The 21199-nt window shown below is 43.8% G+C and overlaps 1 long non-coding RNA gene, 1 gene segment (V, D, J or C) and 2 further genes, besides 4 other annotated features; 3 read left to right on the forward strand and 1 right to left on the reverse strand.

Moving 5' to 3' along the window:
- The window catches only part of TRA (T cell receptor alpha locus), a 930229-nt gene that overhangs the window by 786139 nt on the left and 122891 nt on the right, over window positions 1–21199 (forward strand).
- Window positions 1–21199, reverse strand: part of TRD-AS1 (TRD antisense RNA 1) — a 103555-nt gene that overhangs the window by 28638 nt on the left and 53718 nt on the right. The window contains exons 2-3 of one of the 4 annotated variants that reach the window (NR_148363.1): window positions 19647–19780; window positions 9583–10893 (exon numbers count right to left, since the gene is read on the reverse strand). The exons of 2 other annotated variants lie outside the window; for them this stretch is intronic. This is a non-coding gene — a long non-coding RNA (TRD antisense RNA 1). Of the gene's footprint in view, window positions 1–9582; window positions 10894–19646; window positions 19781–21199 lie in introns of those variants that run through there. One more of the 4 variants, NR_148364.1, reaches the window with a different exon arrangement.
- Window positions 14504–14549: a sequence feature (TRDV2 leader sequence).
- On the forward strand, window positions 14504–15000 carry TRDV2 (T cell receptor delta variable 2). The segment is given in 2 exon segments: window positions 14504–14549; window positions 14702–15000. Coding segments are annotated over 2 exon segments (345 nt in total), but the record flags the coding sequence as incomplete, so codon positions are not given.
- The window catches only part of TRD (T cell receptor delta locus), a 44032-nt gene continuing 37336 nt past the window's right edge, over window positions 14504–21199 (forward strand).
- Window positions 14702–14712: a sequence feature (TRDV2 leader sequence).
- Window positions 15008–15030: a recombination feature (spacer).
- Window positions 15031–15039: a recombination feature (nonamer).

Genomic DNA, 21199 nt, shown 5'->3' on the forward strand with positions numbered 1-21199 from the left:
CCCTATCTGAAGGAATAACACCATCATTTCAAACCCATCCACTGCTCTCCATCCACTGCCACCAGCCAGGTCAAAACTACCATTTTCTTCTTTGGATTGTTTCTATAGCCTTTTGAGTAAGTTAGCCGGCCTCTGGTACTATTCAGTATCTCCTCCCCACAGCAGCCAGAGTGATCTCTCCAAAATACAAATATGATCATGTCATGCCCCTGATTAAAAATCCTTGAGTAACTTCCCATTGCAGATAGGCAAATGACCAAAATCCCTAAAAGTCCTCTAAGACCTTGCACAGTCTGACTCCTCACCTCTTCTGCCATACCTCTCACTCTTCTCTCCCTCATTTTCCAAACATGCCTTCTTCCATCTATTAAATACTTGAATGTACCGGGTGCCTTCCCACCCCAGGGTCTTTGCAACACTTCTCCCACTCCTCATCCCCTGTTTAACTCCTATTGAAAGGAGTTAAACAAAAAAGATCAAAGCCTACACATCCGCTTTTCAGAGGCATCTTGAGATCTCCTAACAATTTCAGGTTGTTTATTCTTTAATGCTTTCATATATCAGTTTGTAATATTTTATTAATTTGATTATGCCTATTTTCTCATGAGTCTGTAAGCTCTGGAGATCAAGGACTATATCTGCATTTGCTTATTCAACCTGACAAATCGCATAAACATAGCTGTGTGAATAAATGAATGAATTTCCCACATTCTGGGACTTCCCAGAATTTGATCATCATCACAGACTCTGGGCTGCAGTGGGGCCTCAAGCCTTGCCATATTCTCACTTTTTAGGGGTCTCGGAGACTCCAGTGTCATCCTGAGCTGGAGTCCAAGGCTTCTTAGAAACCACTGATTTCTACTCATTCTGTCTGGCATACTCAAGAGCCCATTCTTGGGCACACAGGACAACTGAACAGGATTGGAGGGTCCTTCATAGGTCTGAGCCAGCTCCCACATAGGGACCCTGAACAGGTAAGTAAAACCTGCCCAGAGAGTCTAGCTAGACATGAAGAAATCAGAGGGGCCCAAAATGATTATTATTTTCTCAGTGACTACTGGCTGGGCTTATGATGATCCCTCTTGGTGTTTTTCATTTTGCATGGCTATTTTCAGTAGCTGTATCATTAAAATACACAAGTCTATAATTATGGGGATGCATATCCTCATCCCTCAAATATGTACTGAGCACGCACAATATTCCTGGTCCTGTGCCACACGCTCGGTTACAAAGGCAGCCAAAGCTCAATTCCTGTCCTCAAGGTGCTCTTCCTAGTGGAAGAAACAGACATGAAAATAGAAACTTACTAACAGAGAAAGGAGCAAACAAAACACAGAGAAGGAAGTGATGGCCTAGAGATGGGGAGGGTGTCTCAGAGGAGGTGACACGGGCTCATAACAGAAAAAGCACTTGTTTCCCCGAGGTAAGGTGTGCTTGCAGGTTCCTTAAGATGACCCAGGAGGGAAGATGAGCATCCTCAACAGTTACACACAAACACACTCACCTTCATCTCTGATGCTTGCAGTGAAAATAAATAACTGAAAATAGGCCCAACGTGCTGTCTCATGCCTGTAATCCCAACACTTTTTTTCTTTGTTTGTTTGTTTGTTTGTTTGTTTGTTTGTTTTTAATCCCAACACTTTGAGATGCCAATATGGGAGGATTGCTTGGGCCCAGGAGTTCAAGACCAGCCTGGGCGACAAAGCAAGACCCCATCTCTATTAAAATAAAAAGAAAACATAAAATATTGAAAAACAGCCAAAAATATGCTGAAAACCACCATGGCACATGTATACCTATGTAACAAACCTGCACACTCTGCACTTGTATCCTGGAACTTAAAGTAAAATAAAAAATTTTTAAATTAAAAAAATGAAACTAAATAAACTGAAATTTTATGGAAAAATACAAAACCCCAGACTAGACACAATCAGCTTCTTTTTGTGGGAAAATGAATTTATATCAAAGCTTTCATAGGGGTTCTATAACCACAGAATGTAGTTAGTTCCCTGCCAAGTAAAACTTAGATACTTCCAAAATGCTGCTATTGTACACACCGCAAAACAGAGCAGCCAAAATGGTAGTGGTATGGGTTGGGAAGATAAAGAATTAAGAAAAGTAAAGAGGAAGGGGAGAGGAAAAGGAGAATATTATTTCCTTGAATGATGATCACTCCTTTTATTAATAACTTTCTGTTCTTATTAAAGAGATGTCCCAAACCTCTGGGCTTTCCCAGAATTTGGTACCACTGGTGCACTGACCTATCCTCATCCTGCCAATGTGAGGAAACCCAGAGAGACTAGTCAAATGCCCTGCAGAGCAGCAACCACGCCAGTGGGGCTGGCTGTGAACTTTCACTTTGGTGTGTTCTTTGATTTCATTTGGTGTGAAATATTGAGATTTCTCCTCAGATATCCCAGCGCCTTGTAGCTGCACTGGATCTATAAATCTTTATCTGGGCTAGATTGAACCATTTTCATTTATGGAGTTGTTTTTAATCAGAGCAAGAGTAAAACTTTTGCCCTGTACAAAAGAGTCAGCTGTAAACTGAGCCATTCTGCTTCAGCTTTCAGCTTCTCCTCTGAAGTTGTGTCTCTTCTGAGAGCTCTGGAATAAAACAGCTGCCATAGTCATCTCACCCTTCCATATTTTCCTCTTTGTATTAGTCAGCTCTGCTATGGTAACTAACAGTGCCAGGACCTCAGTGGCTTACAGCAATGAACATTTACTTTTTGTTCCCACTTTTACTACCAATTGGCTGCTGAGCTCTGCTCCCTCTGTCTTCCCATTCCAGAGCCCAAGATGAAAGATAAGCCACTATTTGGGACACACTTTTTTTTTCTGACAGGATCTCACTCTGTTGCCGAGAGGCTGAAGTGCAATGGTGCGATCTCAGCTCACTGCAGCCTCAACCTCCTGGGCTCAAGCGATTCTCCCACCTCAGCCTCCCAAGTAGCTGGGACTACAGGTGTGCATGCCACCATACCTAGCTAATTTTTTATTTTATTTTATTTTATTTTGTAGAGATGGGGTTTTTCCATGTTGCCCAGGCCAGTCTCGAACTACTGGGCTCAAGCAGTCCACCTGCCTTAACCACCCAAAGTGCTGAGATTATAGGCATGAGCCACCATGCCCCTCCACACTGTTTTTATGACAGAAGAAAAAGAACAAGAGAAATGCTAGCAGAAACTCCAGATACTTCTTAAAACTTCTGCTCAGACACAGCAGACATTATGTCCACTCACATTCATCAGCCAAAGCCCTTCCATGGTCAAGCACAAGATCAACTAGTCAGGGACTCACACCTTTCCTGCAGAAGGCACTGCAAGACACATAGCAATGGGTAGGAAGCAATAACCCTTTTTCATGGAAAGAAGGATCAAATACTTCAGAATAATAATTATAACCTACCATACCCTTTAACTCCACCCATGTAATTTGTCTCCATCCTGGGGAGTTTCTCCTGCTGTCAACTTAAAAGGAATTTAAAATGATTTTTTTTCTTCTTGGAATTCTTCTGGGGCAACATTTGCCCAATTATTCTTCAGAATGTCACCATCCCTCAAGATGTTAACAGTGGTTGCACAATTTAAAAGAATTCCACCATCAGATAATTTTGGCAAATGCTACATATTAATAGCCTCCTCTTAATATTTACAATTCTTATTACCATATTAAATGCTCTGAGAACCCCTGCTGTAAAGATACCTATTTAACGTGGGATTGGAATCACAGAATTCTTTTTGTAATGGCACAGCCATTAAGACTCACGAAATTCTATAGGCAAATACCGTCCCAAAGGATTACGCAGGATTCAGTCAGATAGATTCCTGCTGTTTCCTCATTTCTGTGCATCCAGACTGAAGGATACCTAATGACGTTGAGAGGAGCTATGCATAAGGCCAATGGGTCTGTACAGGCCTCAAAAAGAAGGCTTGCATTTTTTGCTAAGACCAAACTCAATGTCAGAAACCTGAAAATGTTATTCAGATACTACTCTTTGTCTACTGAATTAAGTATAAACACTTCAGACTGTCTTTTGCTCCTTCCTTTCTTTCTGCAACAAACGTATCTTGAGTCCTACTAGGTGCCAAGTACTATGCCAGGCATTGAGTACACGGTATGAGCAAAACAGACATGCACCCTGCCCTGTGGACTTGCCAGTTTAAAATAAGAGAGACAGACAGAAGACAGGGATATGAGTAAATAGCCAGTGATCATACAACCTCCCAGTGGTTAGCTACACCGTTGGCCACCCATTCCTCCTTGAAATGCTTTCCACACTTAGCTTCTGAGATGCCACTCTTGGCTGATTTTCCTCTTCATCACTGGCTTCTCCTTCTCAGTCCCCCTTGCTGGCTCCTCCTCCACTACACAGCTTCTAAATACTAAAGCAGCCAGGGTCTATCTTCTCTCCTCTATCTCTCCCTAGATGATCTCATTCACCCTCATAGCATTAATTTCACATATGTGCCCATGACTCCCAAATTTATATCTCCAGTGCAAAACTCTCCTCTGAGGATATAATCTTCCCCCAATTGAACCGCCTTAGCACTTCCCACTCTTGAGTTATTTCATGTGTTTTCTCTTTTGCCATGATTGTTTTCATACTTCCTTCATCCTCTTCCTGACTTATAAACCCCTCGAGGCGGGGATCCTTGGTCTGTTTCATCTTCAGTTTCCGTAGTGCATTGCAGAGTAACTGTTTAATATATGATTATTGAATTTAATGTTTGAACTGAATTTCTGCTTTAGGGATCACTGAGACACAGATGTAATGAAAGGGAATATTTTATTTAAAGAAATAATGCCTCATCCTTCTGTATTTCCAAATGAACAACCTCAAATGAGAGAACACAGCTACAGACATTAGCATGAGGTGAATACTTAAGTTTAAAAATGCTAAATCAAGCCAGTATCATCCCTTGTGGTCACAGCAGCTGCTGCTGCAAAGGTTTTATAAATTGCCTACATTCCCGCACCCCATCTGGCGATGCTGGTGTGTTACAGCCATGGATGACTTACTCTTCACAATAGCCTTCACTTGGATCTATTCCCTACTTTAAAATAAAAAGACAAAAAGAAGGTGCCAAAGGGCTTGCCTAAAGTGCTCCCACCCAACAAGAGTACAATTCAACCACATAATGCTGCCTCCTCAGCATTTAGAAGATTAGATTCAGGGCCAAAGGGGAGGTCAGAAGAGGAAGGCCCCCTGGATTGCAGCATTTGGTATGCTGTCCAGCTGAGTCCCCAGCCATGTTGTGAGTCAATGCGAACACAGCAGGTTTCAATAAAGGCAACAGTTATCTAAGCAGGCTGCAGCCGTGACTCTCAGCTCAGCCTCTGGGTCACCAATCTGGGACGTGAGCTGGCACCTCGTTAAAAAAGGTATTCTGACAGAGAGATGGCTGTCAGTGGACTCTTCCAAAAATTCTCTTTCCCTGGGTTCTTCTAGTCCATCTCCTTGGCATGTGCCATTCCCTATGCATCTTTTGTTAGACTACATCTCTGGTTTCTCACCACAGCCTGGACACTGCTGATGGGCTAGATTGCTACCATATGCTTTGTCATGCACCGTGATCCCACTCACAATGTTATTCCAGTGGGATAGATGCTGAGATGGTTCACCATGCAAGAGGAATCGTGCTGCACGTAGTATTTTCTTTGCCCTCCTTTGGTAACTTCGCAAGTTCCCACAGTCACTACTCAGTTATGCACGTGTGCTAACTCAGGCTCAGACTACTTTGCGATTAGAGCCCTGCCAATTGGATAGCTTGTATTTCTATTCAATAATCTTTTCATTCACTCATACTAAACATTCATTCCATAGCTCAATGTTAAGAGCCCTTTAACTTGTCATATACATGATGACTATAACAGCACTCGCATTCTAAGCTAGGCTTTAACACAGCGCTACAGTGGTGATTATAGAACAGCCACTCTGAACTGCGGCTTCTCTAGCTGTGGTGAATGTTATAAAGAAAGTGTATTTACTCTAGTCCTTGCCCTTTTACCAGTCCCCACACACTACCAAACTCAATATAAACCCCACATAACCAGCAAGAATATCTGAGGTGTGCAGGTTATGGCAATGGGACAGCAGCAGACGCACAGTGGGTGAGGTTCCTGGGACATGACCAGGACACTGGTTTATAGTGGCCCAAGCTGCTGTAAGTCTAAGATCCCACTCAAATACTGTACTCACTTTCCCACTTGATGGTTTAGGAACTCTTTTCTAGCCCCCAAAGCTACATTCTGAGCCACTTTTTTTTTAAACCTACACAGCTGCCTTCCCAAAAGTATCCTGCAGTAATTCCATGTTCCTCCTCCATTGTTTCCTCGTTAGCTCTGACTCCATGTTCTGGCAATCTTTCAGCCTCATTCCTTTTTCCTCCCAGTCTGTAATAAAACTAAGCAAAAGGTAGTAGGTATATTAGCTCAAGAATTGGGATGTACCTGTGGAACTGTTGCGTGATGCAAGTTTTTGTCAATGACTATGGGAGCCCCTGGCACGGAGGGCCGGGCCCACCACCCCTCTCCCAAGGGAAAGAGGACAAGTCCCCATCCATCTGTCTTCTCCCCTCCTCTGGCATCATAGACCCACCCCAGTAGATAGGGTCATCTCACTGTCTCCCATTGGAGGTGGAGTGGGGGAGGGTCTCACTCCCAGAAATGCTCCTACAGCTTTCTCCTCTCCCTTGGATTGAAGGATGAAAGGTAGTTATTTGCTTCCCCATAGGGGATGAAGCAGGGAGTTTCCCTAGGGTTCTGGGAGGGCCCACCCTTGTCACCACCCTGTGGTGCCCCAGGGGTAATCGGCCAACTGAAGGAATGTAAGATCTATATAATAAAATCTTAATTCCACAGAAGTATGATTCCAGCCACAAAATTTAAGCTCTCTGTAGACACTAAACACTCTACATTTCCATAAGTCCCACCACCAAAGGAGGAGAAAAGAGCATTTATATTCTCTCTAACACTGCGCTATCCCCTCAGCCTACTCCCAACCAAGAATCTTGAGCAAAATTCTTTGCTCCACTTCAGAGGAGGAAAGTGGGAAATGTTTTTTCCTGTGTGCAGAGACTACTACAAAGAGGGAGGGGCTCCTGTTCGGGCCCATTTAAACTAATTTTCCATCTGCTCCCAATCCAGGTTTTTCCAGTTTTACCTCTTTATTGGGATATTGTTGAATGGAAGCACATAATTACCATTATTTTATTTTTTATAAATGGGCTTCTACAAACAAAAACACAGGATTAGTCTATTATTAGCATGAAAACCTGTGCCGTGGCTTCTCTGAGTTCTACCTGGGGACCAGCACACCCCCACTGTCTTCCAGCGAGCAGAACAAATCAAAGAGGATTTCCAGAGACAGCAATAACTTTACATTCCACCCACTGCTCTCCCTGGGGCAGCAAATCTTCACTGTGAAATCTGCAATTCCAGGAGAGCAGAAAGCAATCTATCTCCCTCCAAAAACAAGTTGCCATTTCAGGGAACTGGACACATTTTCACTCCTAATGGTAGGTCTCCTTGGATTACTATGGTCTGCCATGAGCCTGGGAATTGTAAGACAAAAACAGAGGAAGGAAGGAAGGAAGGAAGGAAGGAAGGAAGGGAGGGAGGGAGGGAGGGAGGGAGGGAGGGAGGGAGGGAGGGAGGGAGGGAGGGAAAAAGAATGCAAAGTTGAAATATAGCAAGAACCCATTACTCTATGAGTCCAGTGCGCTACAGGCTGGGTTCCATCTCACACACACACACAGTGATGTCCCAATGTAAGGAATCCCAGCTAGTGGGCTCCCCAACTGAATTCTACCTCTCAGAAGGGAGCTGGATAGGACAAAATTTCTATCTGAAAGGTCAGAGCAGGATTAGGAGGAGAAACCAAGAACACAGACTTAGCCCATTTCAACTAGCACAGAAGGACCCAGAATGCCAGGTATGATAGCACCTAACAAATATTTACTAAGCACCCACTAAGTGCCCAGCACTGTTGAAAGAGATCAAGGGAACAGGGAGATGGTTGGTGCTGACGTAAGTTTGTAAGAAGTGAGCAATCACCAGGCAGCAAAGGTGTTGGGGGTCCGCGCTGGTCATAGAGAAAGGACAAGGAGCAGAAGACTGGCCGATCCCAATGCCACAGCAGGCCCTATGGTCACAGGTGACACCTCTTCCTTGTCCCCTCAGTACAACAGTGTATAAGCCTTTACTGTCCTACAATTCTTCTTTTTGTTACACAGTGGCTTTCAACCCTGGCTGCACATCAGAATTATCTAAGGAAGTTATTAAAATCCTGTTGCCCAAAACCCACCCCAGACTAATGAAATCAGACTCCGTGGGGGTGGCACCTAGGCTTCAGTAGTTCTTAAAACTCCCCCGGTGGTCCCAGTGTGGGGCCAAGATTGAAAACCATTGCATGGAGGTAATTGTCCTAATTACCTCTCCAGCTTTTCTCTGCCTCTACATTCCTCTTATCTAAGCTGTTATATTGCCTTTTTATTTTTAGTTTGTTCTACTTTGTCCTTTCAGTAGATAATTCTATAATACTCCATTAAACCTTTTTTCATGCTTTAACTTTGTTTTTTCTCATTTAATTTTCATCGCCCACTCTACTTACTCCCTCTTCCCATTATGTTTGTTTTGTTTTGTGTTTTCTTTAATTCAGCATCAACATTTGCAGGGCACTTGATATGGACAGAGTACGGCAGCAGGCATTTAACTGCTGCTAAAAATTATATTTAACGCAGTAATATTTTGTGTTAGATCCTGTGCCGTGGCTACAGGCTCTTGTCTTATGGAAGATTGGCACTTTGGCTTCTTCCTTGGAAGTAGCTGCATTGCTGTATAAATTTAAGATCCAAAATAAGTATATTACAATAAAAAATAAAAGAAGCATCCACAAATATGAGGGAAAGAAGCATTAACAGCAGTCTGAAGCTAAATATCAACATCACCCCTGCCAAGCTCTTGGCCTCATTGTAGGTGGAAGACGCTGCCATGTGCAACAAAAAGAGAAAGGGCCCAGGCTGCATGCACAACTAACGAGGCTGTTCCCTGAGGAAAGGGCATTTGCTGATTTAGACTCATTTCCTCAAGGTCCTCAAGCAAGCCCAAGAGTACATAGGCCAGTCGCTGAGACACTGAAAGTTGAGATGTGGAAGAAAGGGCCAACAGACTGTCCCAGAAGCAGAATGCTTCAGTCCTCCAGGGAAGCTTTGGGGGAGATCTGCCCTCGTGTCCTCCTACAGCTCAGCTGAGAGCAGCCCTGGAGCCTCAGAACCACAGGCCCTGTAGTTCCCTGGGTCTGGCAAACCCCTGGGAGAACAAATCACTGTCCTCCCCACAGAGCCAGCCCAGCACTGAGAACACCATACAAGCCAGAGGATGCTTGCCAAATAGATGCATGAACGAACGAATGAATGAATGAATGACTCCTCTGATGAAGTTGTCCCAGGGAGAGTTTGTGGGAATACTGAAAAGGAGGGTGGTCCCCAAGCTGGTACCCCAGTCCTTGATACTCTGATGTGGCTTTTTAATTTCTCTGTCTTCCTTTTACCTTGATGTATTTATTCTCTATCAATCTATTTGTTTATTTATTTATTTACTTTAGGAATCAAGCCAGACACCTTGTTGGAGCAACAAGAGCTAGAGATATTTGTTCCTTTTAGAAGAAGCAAAATTTTCCAGTGCCAACTGACAGGGAAGAAGATGAATAATTACACTATGTCCTGGTAAAGAGGACCCGAGACGGCTTCCTGATTTTCGTACATCAACAAGGAGACGTCTATGACCCTGGTCTCCAGCACACCTTTCTTGGTAGAGTTGAGAATTCAACCAGCCAGTTCTTCCTGGAGATTCTCAGAGCCACATTGAGAGAGCAGAGGACTTACAAGTGCTGCCCTATCCATGGTGACTCCCCTTGGCCTCTAGGTAAGTCACACACTGAAGCCTGCCCCTCCCACCTTCCACCCTGGTCAGCTAATCTAGGTTAGTGCAGGTCTAACCTAGATTACAAGGCGTGCTCGTGTGCATAATTTCATGACCACCAACAACCACATGGGGCAACGTTATCCCCATTTTATTGTCCAGGAAACCGAGGCCTGGTGTGGTAAGTGACTTGCAAGTAAGAGGAGGAGTGAGATATAAACCCAGATTCCTGAATCTAAATTCAGTGGTCTGTACTGCAGCATAGCTGCCGCCTCTTGAGAACTAGAGTGGGCAGTGTGGAAGTGGGAATTCCCAAGTTCCCAGGCCTCTTCCAGCTCAGTCTTCTATGTAAAATTTTTCTTTTCCAGGCTTGTCTGAGCAGAGGTAGAGTGACCCTGCCGCCTGTTCCTCAACAGTCTGTGCAAATTCAAAGAAATAGAGTGTGAATTCAAGGAACTCATTTGAAGAACAGGAAAAGCAACTCTCTCCTTGAGGTTATCGGGGAAATGAAGGTTGAAACATGGATCAGAAGACTTGCTGAGGTCCCTTCCACCCTCAGCTCTTCCATTCTGTTCCCAAATGAGGCCCAAAACACAGCTTTCTCCATCACTCTTTAATCTGTTGGTTGATTTGTCTGGTGCACCCAACCAGCACTGTGGCCCTGAAAATAAAATGTTAATTACATCAATCTTACAGCCATCCATCGCTAGCCATCTGATGCTGATAGAAAGGCAGGAAGCACTCGTGGCAGTTTGCATATCAGGGTCAGCAGTTCCTTTCTTAACCCTCCTCTGTCTGGCAAGGCTAAGGGAGCAGACGTTCCTGTAATGACCTGGCCTGTCTTTAGAGCTGCAGCCCTAAGAGCTGGTTTTCTTCCTGTGGCTATGGTCTTGGCACTGAGCTCCTTCCTGCTCTTCTTTTGCTCTTGTGTGTAGCGGACCACAACATGCTTTCAGATCAGACATCCTGTGGGCAGAAGAAATTATTTCACTTCAATAAGAATTTTTGAAGACCAGTATGGGTTCAACGGGTGCTTTTGGGAGATTACACCAGAGATAAGAACAGACTAAATCACACGCGTGAGGCAGCATTTACAAATCATACAACACAATATGCAATAGCAGCTTCTGAGTTTCTGCAGAGGAAAGGCTAAGGACAGCAACCTGGTTGGAAGATGCCTCAGGAACTTGCCTTGAGGCTGTATTTTCATAGCACATAAGATTGGGAAAGACATCAAAGAATGGGAAACCTTCCATTCTGGAGAGATGGAGATTATGGGGGAGAATGGATAAAGCCCCCAAAAACACTCTTGCCTCTCCTACTAACTGTTCAAGTCTCAGGTATCATTATTTGTATGACAAAGAGAAAATTAACATCGTTAAGCAATGAGCCAAGTGTTTACAAGTATAATTTCATTTATTTCTCACAGAAATCCTATGAGTTATCTTCTCCCATTTTACGGAGTATAAAAAAATTAGTTTTTTCTAGAAATCACATGAAGGGACAGACATCCCCTTGGCAGGACCAAGGAAGCTGTGGCCTAATTGCTGGCCTTGACACGAAGGAATGACTGAGCACAAAGAACACAGCCTACACAGGGCCGGAGGAGGGTTGGGTCTGAGGGCAGAGCCCTGGTGGATGTTTCTGCCTTCCACCTGGGCACCCTGAGACAGGCTGTGTTTTTGTTGAAGTTCCATCTTGTCCTGCCACAGGCCCAGGCCAAGCTGACTGCTCCTGACCTGGTGAAGCACTAGCCACACTCTGCCCCAAGCTCCCGCCGCATCATCACCTGTCCTCTCCTGTACTGTCTTCTACCTCTGGCTTTGATTTATTGTTCATACCAGCTTTCTCTCTTAGTCAGGCCTAGAGGAAGGTTGTTTTTGGCCATTAGCAATAAATTCTTAAAATTCCCTCTAACCGGTGGAAGATATAAATCACAGTCATAAACATAATACACATTCTTGGGACTTTTCAAAATGACTTCCTGAATAATTTGAGATAGTTCAACAATAATTTTCTAGAAAGACAGGCTTATTTGAGCCCTGCTAACTACTCTTTTGATATTAATACAGCTTTAAACCCTCTATACTTCTTTCTGCCTCAAGGCTTTTTTAATACATGTCCTCATTTGTTACATAGAATGTTATTTCCCCACCCATGCCCCATACCTGTTTCAGGCAGGGTCCAAGCAGGAGACAGGGCACTCTCGGAGTGATTAGAGAGAGTTTAATGAAAGGGACTTTTACAAAGCTGTGGACAGGTGTTATGGATTGAAATGTGTCCCCCAAGGGACACATTAACTCTCAGTACCTTAGAATGTGATCTTATTTGGAAATAGGGTCACTGCAGATGTAGTTACCTTAAATGAGTTCATACTGGAGTATGGTGGGCCCCTAATGCAATATGACTGGCATTCTATATGACAGCCAAGTGAAGACAAAGACACGCAGGGAGAGAAAACCATGAGACAGTGCAGGCGGAGACTGGAGTGATACAGGTGCGAGCCAAGCCAAAGACCATCAGAGTTTCCAGCAAACCACCAAAATCTAGGAAGAGGTGAGGAAGGATTCCCCTACAGGTTTCAGAGGGTGCATGGCCCTGCTGACACCTTGATTTCAAACTTTCAGCTTCCAGAACTGTGAAACAATACGTTTATATTGTTTTAACTACCCAGTTTGTGGTACTTTGTTAAGGCAGCTACAGGAAATTAATACAGAAGGGTTATGGGAAACCAAAAAGAAGGTGGTGAAACACCCAGGGCTGGCAACAAAGAACCGCTGCCATGCCAGGCCTGAAGCGTGTAGGGGAGGAGCCTTTACTGAAACCTGCAGCTGTGGAAGAGGAGTTATAGCTTCCAGTGAAGGAAGGCACTCTCCTCCTTCCCTCCAGTCTCCTGAAGGTGTCTCCATTGGCCAAACCAAATGGGATGGAGAGCCGGTGGATGCTGCCAATTAAGGTCAGGCTCAGAGTAAGAAGTAGAGTGGATGTGCAGAGGCAAACAGACTCAGTCTCAACTGCAATGCCACTTCCTCTTCAGGGAAGCCTTCCCTGACCTCCTGACCAAACCTGGCCTCTGTAACATGCTCCCATAGTCCTTCTGCTTCTGCAGAATATTTATAGCTGCAATGGAGGGATAAATTATGCAAATTATTAAGTGATGACTGGCTCTCATGCTAGAACATAAGCTCCATGAAAGAAAACACTGTGTCTGCCATTCATCAATGGCAGACCCTGAATCCTCAGGGCCTGGCATATAGTAAGAATGACTAGGTTTTATAGGATGTGCCAAGAACTAAGCAGCCTGATAGAAAAAGGTCAAGTATTTAAGTCCAAACAGATTGACCTTGGCAACTTTCAAAGAGCTATAGACAGCAGACAGCATTATGTTCTGCTGGGGGACAGGGTTGCTGATGATATAATGTGTAACATCAAAGAATGTGACCACCTTGAATACTTGCTAATAGTCCTCCAAGAGCAGTAGGCAGGATGGGCAGTTGTGCAAAGTGAGGCGAGGCAGAGGTGGGTGGGGAGAGCAACTACTATGGGGTCAAGAAACTTCATCTGCTCCTATCTGAATTTTTTTCAGGGCAGTCTGTTCCCAGTCACACTGGGGAACTTAAGAAAGCTTAGATGAGTCTTTCCTCCACTAACCTGGGAATGTAAGTCCTGCATCCACCCTCCAATATGGAAGCCACCTTTGCTCTTGCCTTTTTGCTTACCAGGTGACTCTCTTCCCAGCTTCTGCTGCACTCTCTAGTTCTCATTATTAATTTACCTGTTTGATTTCAAAATTTCAAAGATTGACCTTTAAACTCAAAAGTGGAGGTCCCAAAAATCCTAACCTCCCCTCTTTTGAAGTCCATGTAAATTTAGCCCGTCATAAGTTGAGATGTAGTGGTGGTTTCTAAGTTTTTTACAATGTTTGGCTTTGTGTAATTTAACACAGGTAACCTAAGAACCCTTCAGAAAAGAAGCTAGATGAGCTCAATAAAGATCAGGAAACTCTGGCTCACATTTGGAAGACCATGTTTCATTGGATTGCTCTTTAACACATGGGTAAATCACCCTTATCCAACTTTGCCTAGAGGGAGTTTGCAGTGAACACAACAATCATTACAACATCTTCAGTCTTTGTGCACATGCTGTTGATCTCCTCATTTGGTGGTTCTTTTGATTACAGCTGTAAATGCCAATAATTCTTCTTGGTATGAACTATGAACATCACCACATAGTGTCTAACATGTACATCTAACCTGAAACTGGAACAACAATATCAAATTTAACGTCTAGGGAAGGAAGCAGAAACCCTGTCACCAATTAAATAAGCTGCCTTAATCTCCTCTCAGTTGGCCTAACTTACCTGAACCGTACTATTGGTCTTGAAGGTGGCACTGTCATCCCATTAGCAGGCAGCAGGCCCTGCGAGCCTCCTGTGATCAGCTAGATTTCTCTGGGGAATGAAACAGCTGCTGATAGGGACTGACTTCCTCAGTCACAAGTGTTTCACAAGTGTGTTGGTTCAGAGGAGGGACCAGGCAGAAGGTGGTTGAGAGGCAGAGCTGCCCCTGAGTGAGCCATGCAGAGGATCTCCTCCCTCATCCATCTCTCTCTCTTCTGGGCAGGTAAGGCAGACCCCAGAACTTGGGCCAAGCAAGACTCAGCAGCAAAGAAACATCAAGGCTCACAGGACCTTGTACTCATGGACTGTGCTCCTTACTCAATGACCTCAGCCCCCAGCCCTCACTGAGCCCCTCTCTTGTGTCTTTTCTCTCAGGAGTCATGTCAGCCATTGAGTTGGTGCCTGAACACCAAACAGTGCCTGTGTCAATAGGGGTCCCTGCCACCCTCAGGTGCTCCATGAAAGGAGAAGCGATCGGTAACTACTATATCAACTGGTACAGGAAGACCCAAGGTAACACAATGACTTTCATATACCGAGAAAAGGACATCTATGGCCCTGGTTTCAAAGACAATTTCCAAGGTGACATTGATATTGCAAAGAACCTGGCTGTACTTAAGATACTTGCACCATCAGAGAGAGATGAAGGGTCTTACTACTGTGCCTGTGACACCCACCCTGCTGCAGCTCTACTTCTGAGCAGCTCAAAAACCACTGACCAGGCGCGGTGGCTCACACCTGTAATCCCAGCACTTTGGGAGGCCGAGGTGGGTGGATCACGAGGTCAGGAGATCGAGACCATCCTGGCTAATACGGTGAAACCCCGTCCCTACTAAAAATACAAAAAAAAAAAATTAGCTGGTCGTGGTGGCGGGCACCTGCAGTCCGAGCTACTCAGGAGGCTGAGGCAGGAGAATAGCGTGAACATGGGAGGCGGAGCTTGCAGTGAGCCGAGGTCATGCCACTGCACTCCAGCCTGGGAGACAGAGCAAGAGTCCATCTCAAAAAAAAAAAAAAAAGAACATTGCCATCCATGTAGAGCAGCAATTCCAACAAGATCGTGATTTTCTCTTGAATAAATAATTTAGGAAATAGGGACCAGAGAAAGCTAGTGTTTCTACCTTTCTTTCAGGCTCAGCCACTCAGCTTGCCCGTGCCCTCCCATGGTGCTCAGATAGGCAGCCCCCAGTGGGACAGAAGAGAGGAGAGATGGAGCCAAAGGAATGAACTGTAGCATCTACTGTGACAGTTTTCTTGGAGGCTCATAAAAGGTATGACCACAGAGCCACAGTGCTTAGAGTATAGCATAGATTAAGGAGGCACCTTACAATTTACAACTATGGGTGACATCCAGTTTTTCCCCAGCCACATGCCTCTGAATTTACATGTTCTAGAGGAAAAGGACTGGCAGTGGGGGGAGGCTCCTCTCCCTCCTTCAGATCAAATATGTACACTACCTGTCATTTTGCCCAACATGGAAGGAAAGGCTACATCTCTAGCATCTCTAGCATGCTCTGTTGTTTTGATGATTACTGACTGGATATTTTGTTTTGCTTTGTTTTGTTTTCTTCATGAGACGGGGTCTTGCTGTGTCCCCCAGGCTAGAGTGCAGTGGCGTGATCATAGCTCACTGCAGCCTCACACTCCTGGGCCCAAGCTGGATATGGTGTTTTGCTCTCCCTTTCTTCTCTATCTCTTTACTTCCACATGTGCTAGAAACAAAACGTTGAAAAATTGCTTCCACTGGCACTTCCTTATCCTTCTTTGGACAGCTCAATTTAACACTGCACTTTTATCTTGAACAATGTGTTTTTCCAGATTTAGATGATTGACGGGGCTCTCTACTCCAAGGCTGAACCTGTGGCAGAAATCAGCCTTCCTTCTGTCCTCATCTAGAAAATCTACCACTTACCTTGTTAAATAACCTCATAAGAACTTGTGGTGATAGACATGGTCAGTGACTTGATTGCGGTGATAGTTTCACAGATGTACAGGCATATCAAACTCATCAGATTAGACACTCTAAATGTGTACAGTTTATTTCACATCAAGTATACCTCAATACACTTGTAAAAATATTTGTTTAAACCCAAAATGGATTTTTTAGGCTTCTTTGGACTACTTCAGGCAACGTCTACACAAAATGTTCTTCAACAAACCCCTCTAGTCAAATATCCTCTAGTCAAATATCTTCCACAGAAGTACAAAGAGGCTGACAGGGCTTGCCACACCTTATTTGGTTTCAGTCAGGGCTTTTCACTGTTTTGCCAAGTGTCTTCCCAATCCTCTCTCCTCTCATGATTCTGCCTGACCTTTCATATATATAATACATGTTATATATATATGTTATAATGTGTCGTTGTTCCATGCATTTTAGTCATGACTGCCCCCATGAGCTCTTATCATTTATCTCCCCAAATAGCTATATTCTAAACCTTCAGAAAATCTCTCTTCTCTACTCTTCATCCCAAACTCACTCACTTTGACCTGATGCATGATCCCAACATAGGCCTGGAACCTGCCTTCTACCTTTCTGCCCCACCCCATTGGGCAACTTCTTTGGTTGAACGGTCTGCAAGGCCCTGGATACTGGCTCTGCCCTTGGACAAAATCGGGTTCCCAAATCCCCATCCAGATACAGCACTCTGAGCTCCACGATCTTGGAAGGGGTTTGGACCCAGCCTTCCCCAGATGTATTTAAACAGAGGGCCTGTCATGATTCATCAAGCCCACTGCCTGCCACTCAGATCTAATTCTCCTTCTTTGAACAAATGATAGGCAAGAAGGTGGAGTGCATCTCCAACATGGAGAGGATACAATTATTCTCCTAGTTTGAAATCATGATTTGGAAAAAGAATGACATCTGGAAAACTGGTTATGCAGATGTCAAAGTTGTGGAGCCATGGTTTTATAACGCCTGCAAGATGGATTCCTAGTAAGACCCCAAGTGACTCCCTCTAACAGAGACTGGGAAGAGTGTCTCTAAGGAGAAGGAGGGGAAAAAATATCTGGACAAATCCATAAGACTGTATGTCTTCCGTATTAATAACTAATATCTGTTGAGTGCTTACTATGTGCCAGGCAGCATTCTAAGCACTTAACGTGTGTTATATGATTAATCTTCACAACAACCTTAGTATTTACTTTCTATTCTTGTCCTCATTTTACAAATGAGAACCCCAAGGCACAGAAAACCTAAAATACTTGCCCAAAGTAGCATAGCTAGTAAGGGAGGGTGACAGATTTCAGACTCTTGATGCTGCACCAGAGGACACAGCATGTAATTTGGGGAGATGGGGGACCCATAGAGAAAGCCACCTTCAGGATGTGTCAGAACCAAGGGACAACAGGGGCTGTGCCCTCACCACCAAACCTGTTCCAATTGATACTCCCGTGACCATCTGTCAAAAAACTGGGACAACAGAACAATGGTCCCAAATGACCTCTCAAGTGTTTTCTAACTGAGATTTTGTGATCCTGACACAAGCTTCACACTGTCTTCTAAAATCATCTGCATCTCTTCATCTGTGAAATGGGGATAATAAGAGTTCTACCTTCACTGTGTTATAAAATATATAATTATAGAAAGTAAATAAATTGCATAGCTTATAGTAGCTATTTAATAAATGTTACCTATTATAAGAAAAAGCAAACTGCAAGGAAGAATAATTGAGAAGAAAGTGAACTAAATTACTGAGCACCAACGAAATGCAGCCACTTTACAGGTATGGACTCACTTATCCTATGACAACTCAGTGAGGTCATTATCATCCTTTCTGTTTTGCAAGTGAGGATACTGAGACTCAGACAGGCTGGACAGCTTGCTTACAGAAGCAGAGCCAGGATCCGGATCTGACTTGAAGCCTGATTGTCCTGGCTGGGATACTGGGCTGGGAGCTGCGGAATGTCCTAAAGAAATACCTTACCTATAGCAACATCTCATGTAAAGGATGGCTGGGAACAGGTATGTGAAGTCTGGTCATCTTTGCTCATGCAAAGATTGCTCTTGACTCCTTGGCCAGTTTCCAGAAGAAGGGATAGTAGGAGGTCTTCAACTCCTTCCCCCTGCCTCCTCTCCCCTGCTTTAAAACACCAATTGTAATTTCAGCTTCCAGGTTGTTCTCCCGAGATGGCTCACTCCCCTGACTGAAGGAAGACAGCTACTCCCCAGCCCACTGCCACTCACACTCCTGAGCACCACCCCTAGGTCAGCAGCTTTTCTCCCAGGGTACACCATGAGAAACATGAGAGACTGGCCCACATATTCCCTCCTTCTGATGCTTGTCAAAGGTAGTCTCTTGTTGGACTCCCTTAGATCCTCGGGGTGCTCATGGATTCACTGCCTTTTCCTCTCCTTTTCAGGGGCTTGCCTGGAGCGAAAACCATAGGGGTCCAAGGCCGGCATAATGAGAGCTAGAAAAATTCCCTGGGTTTCTGTCAGGTCCATAGAGTTGGTGACTTTACCACCCACATATATCTTTGCTGTCAAGCAAAGTGTGCAAGTTTGTCTCTTCCGTTGTCATCGACTTATCACTTATACAGAGGCAGCAATGGGGCTTGAGATCTGACAACCACAATTCTCTGCATTCAAAAGTGAGCACACGGGTACCAGAAAACACTGCGGTGGATGAAGGTGCAGGAGCCACCGTGTAAAGAATAGAAATTAATTTCTAACTAAATGTCTCTGCTTTAGTTAGGGTCTTAGTCCACTGCAGTATCTTAAACAATACATATTCAATGATAAATTTTCCATAATGACAAGGTGAACAAACTCAGAATCAAAGCTCCTTTCCTACTCTTCAATTCAACACATTACCCTAAAATATTAATTGAAATGATAGGATTATACAGCTTTTTTTTTTGTCAGAGCACTTTATTCATTCTTTCAGTAAATACCATCTCTCATATCTGCTTAATTTTTCTCCACAGCATTTATCACTATTTGGCATGCTACATATTTTACTTGTTTATATTTTGTTGTCTGGCTCTCCACTGGAATACAAGGTCCTTGATGGCAGAGATGAGTTTTTGTCTGTTTTGTTCACTGCTTTAACTCCAGCACTTAGAATAACTTTGGCCCATAACAGACACTCAATAAATGTATTAAATGAATGAGGGAATGAAATACATATGAGTGAGTGCTACGTACCCTGCACTGAGCTGGATGCCAGGGACACAGTGGTGCACAAGGCTGGTGCGGACTCTGCCTTCTGAGATGTTCTCCCCAAGCCTCATCTACCCACTAAAAAAATGCTACTGACCGTAACAAGATTTTCTGAAGAGTTGATTATAGAGTACTCTGGAACACCAAATAACTTACTCTTGGAGAGCAGACATCGAGGCTCCTAAGTGCATTGGATGTTAGCAGGGGCAAAATGAAGAAAATAGTAGCTTTCTCTTTTCTCCACCTTTTCTCTCTTTTGAGTCCCAAGGGTCCCAGCCCTGAGTCTGAGGCTGTCAAAGAAAAAGCGAAACACTTCTGTTTTATTTCACAAAGGAATTTCGCAACGCTTCTCTCCAAACAGACTGGCTGGGGCATGCTATTTCACAATGAAAAGCCACGATAACACAGTTTCCTAAACAAAGGGGCGATTCCTAACTCCCTCTCACTTTATCACCACTGCCACCAAATGATTTTGGTATTCTTCAAGAATACAGAATCCACTGGGTCTTTTTGGGCTTTTTAGCAATTTACACATCCACAAACACATAGGTTTATGAGCGGTAACAGCGTACATTCCAGTGCATGAAACACTGCAGGGATTCTCTGAAGGCGTGCCCTGGATGCTGCAAGGCTCCAAGGCAACAGTCAGCCAGTGGAACAGTGTGCCACCCAGCATGCTCGACTTGATAGAAAAAAGACCCAGTGACAGGGCAAAGGAAGTCAAGCCAACATGCAATTGCTTGTATTAATTTAAATAAAGCCAGGTTCTCAAACTCCATGTTTAAATAAGAAATCTAACAGTCATAAGTTTTCTTTTTACCTGCATGCATATGGGAGAATAGGGAAAGTTTAAATTATCTTTCTGGCTTAAGGACAAAATTGCATGAGTATTTATAACTTTCAGAAAAGAAATGTCAGTCTAAATATATTACTAGGGCAACAAATTATTAAGAAAAAAAACCCAAAGTACAGTCTTTTGGAAATTAAAGTTGCTTTCATAGAATATAGCAGCATTCACTCAGTAACAATTCATTAAGTACCTCATATGTGCCAGACGCTTTTCTAGACACAATGGAAGCACAGCTCTCAGAATCTCAGGAGCTTATATTTCAGTGGAAATAAACACAAAATAAAATAAGTAAAATATATGTCAGATGGAGATAATTGCCATGGAGAGGAGTAAAACAGGCGGGGAGAGAGAGAGTGTTGTCAGCAGGCTTGCAGAAATTACAATTTTAAATCAGGTTGTCAAGAAGGGATACAATAAGAAGGTGACATTTCAGCAAAGGCCTGCGTGTAGGCAGGGAGCCCAGTATTTGGAGTGTGGATGTTTGCTGGACTCCCTCTGTTAGAAATAACATTTTCATGCACATTCTTAAGACATAATCATACCAGCTTTTCTGTAGGTTAGGGAGATAAGGAGTCATTTTTTCTTTCTTATCTTGCTAAGAGCTCTTTCACAAGTAGTTCACACTTTCATTTTTCAAAATCAAGCGATGAAATGCCATTAATTAGCACAAAGTGTGTTGGGGAGTGGACGCGAGGGTTTGGCAAGGAAGCAGTCCTGAAAAGATCAAAACTTACAACATGAACAGGAAGATGACAGCACTGATTATTGACAAACGGAAAATGGGGCATGGCATTTTGAGCCCTTTGCCTTGAGTCTCTCCCTAGTCACGTGACCACATTCTGTGGACTGGTGAGTGTTT

The sequence above is a fragment of the Homo sapiens genome, chromosome 14 (genome assembly GCF_000001405.40).
Source record: "Homo sapiens chromosome 14, GRCh38.p14 Primary Assembly".
In the NCBI taxonomy this organism is placed as follows: domain Eukaryota; kingdom Metazoa; phylum Chordata; class Mammalia; order Primates; family Hominidae; genus Homo; species Homo sapiens.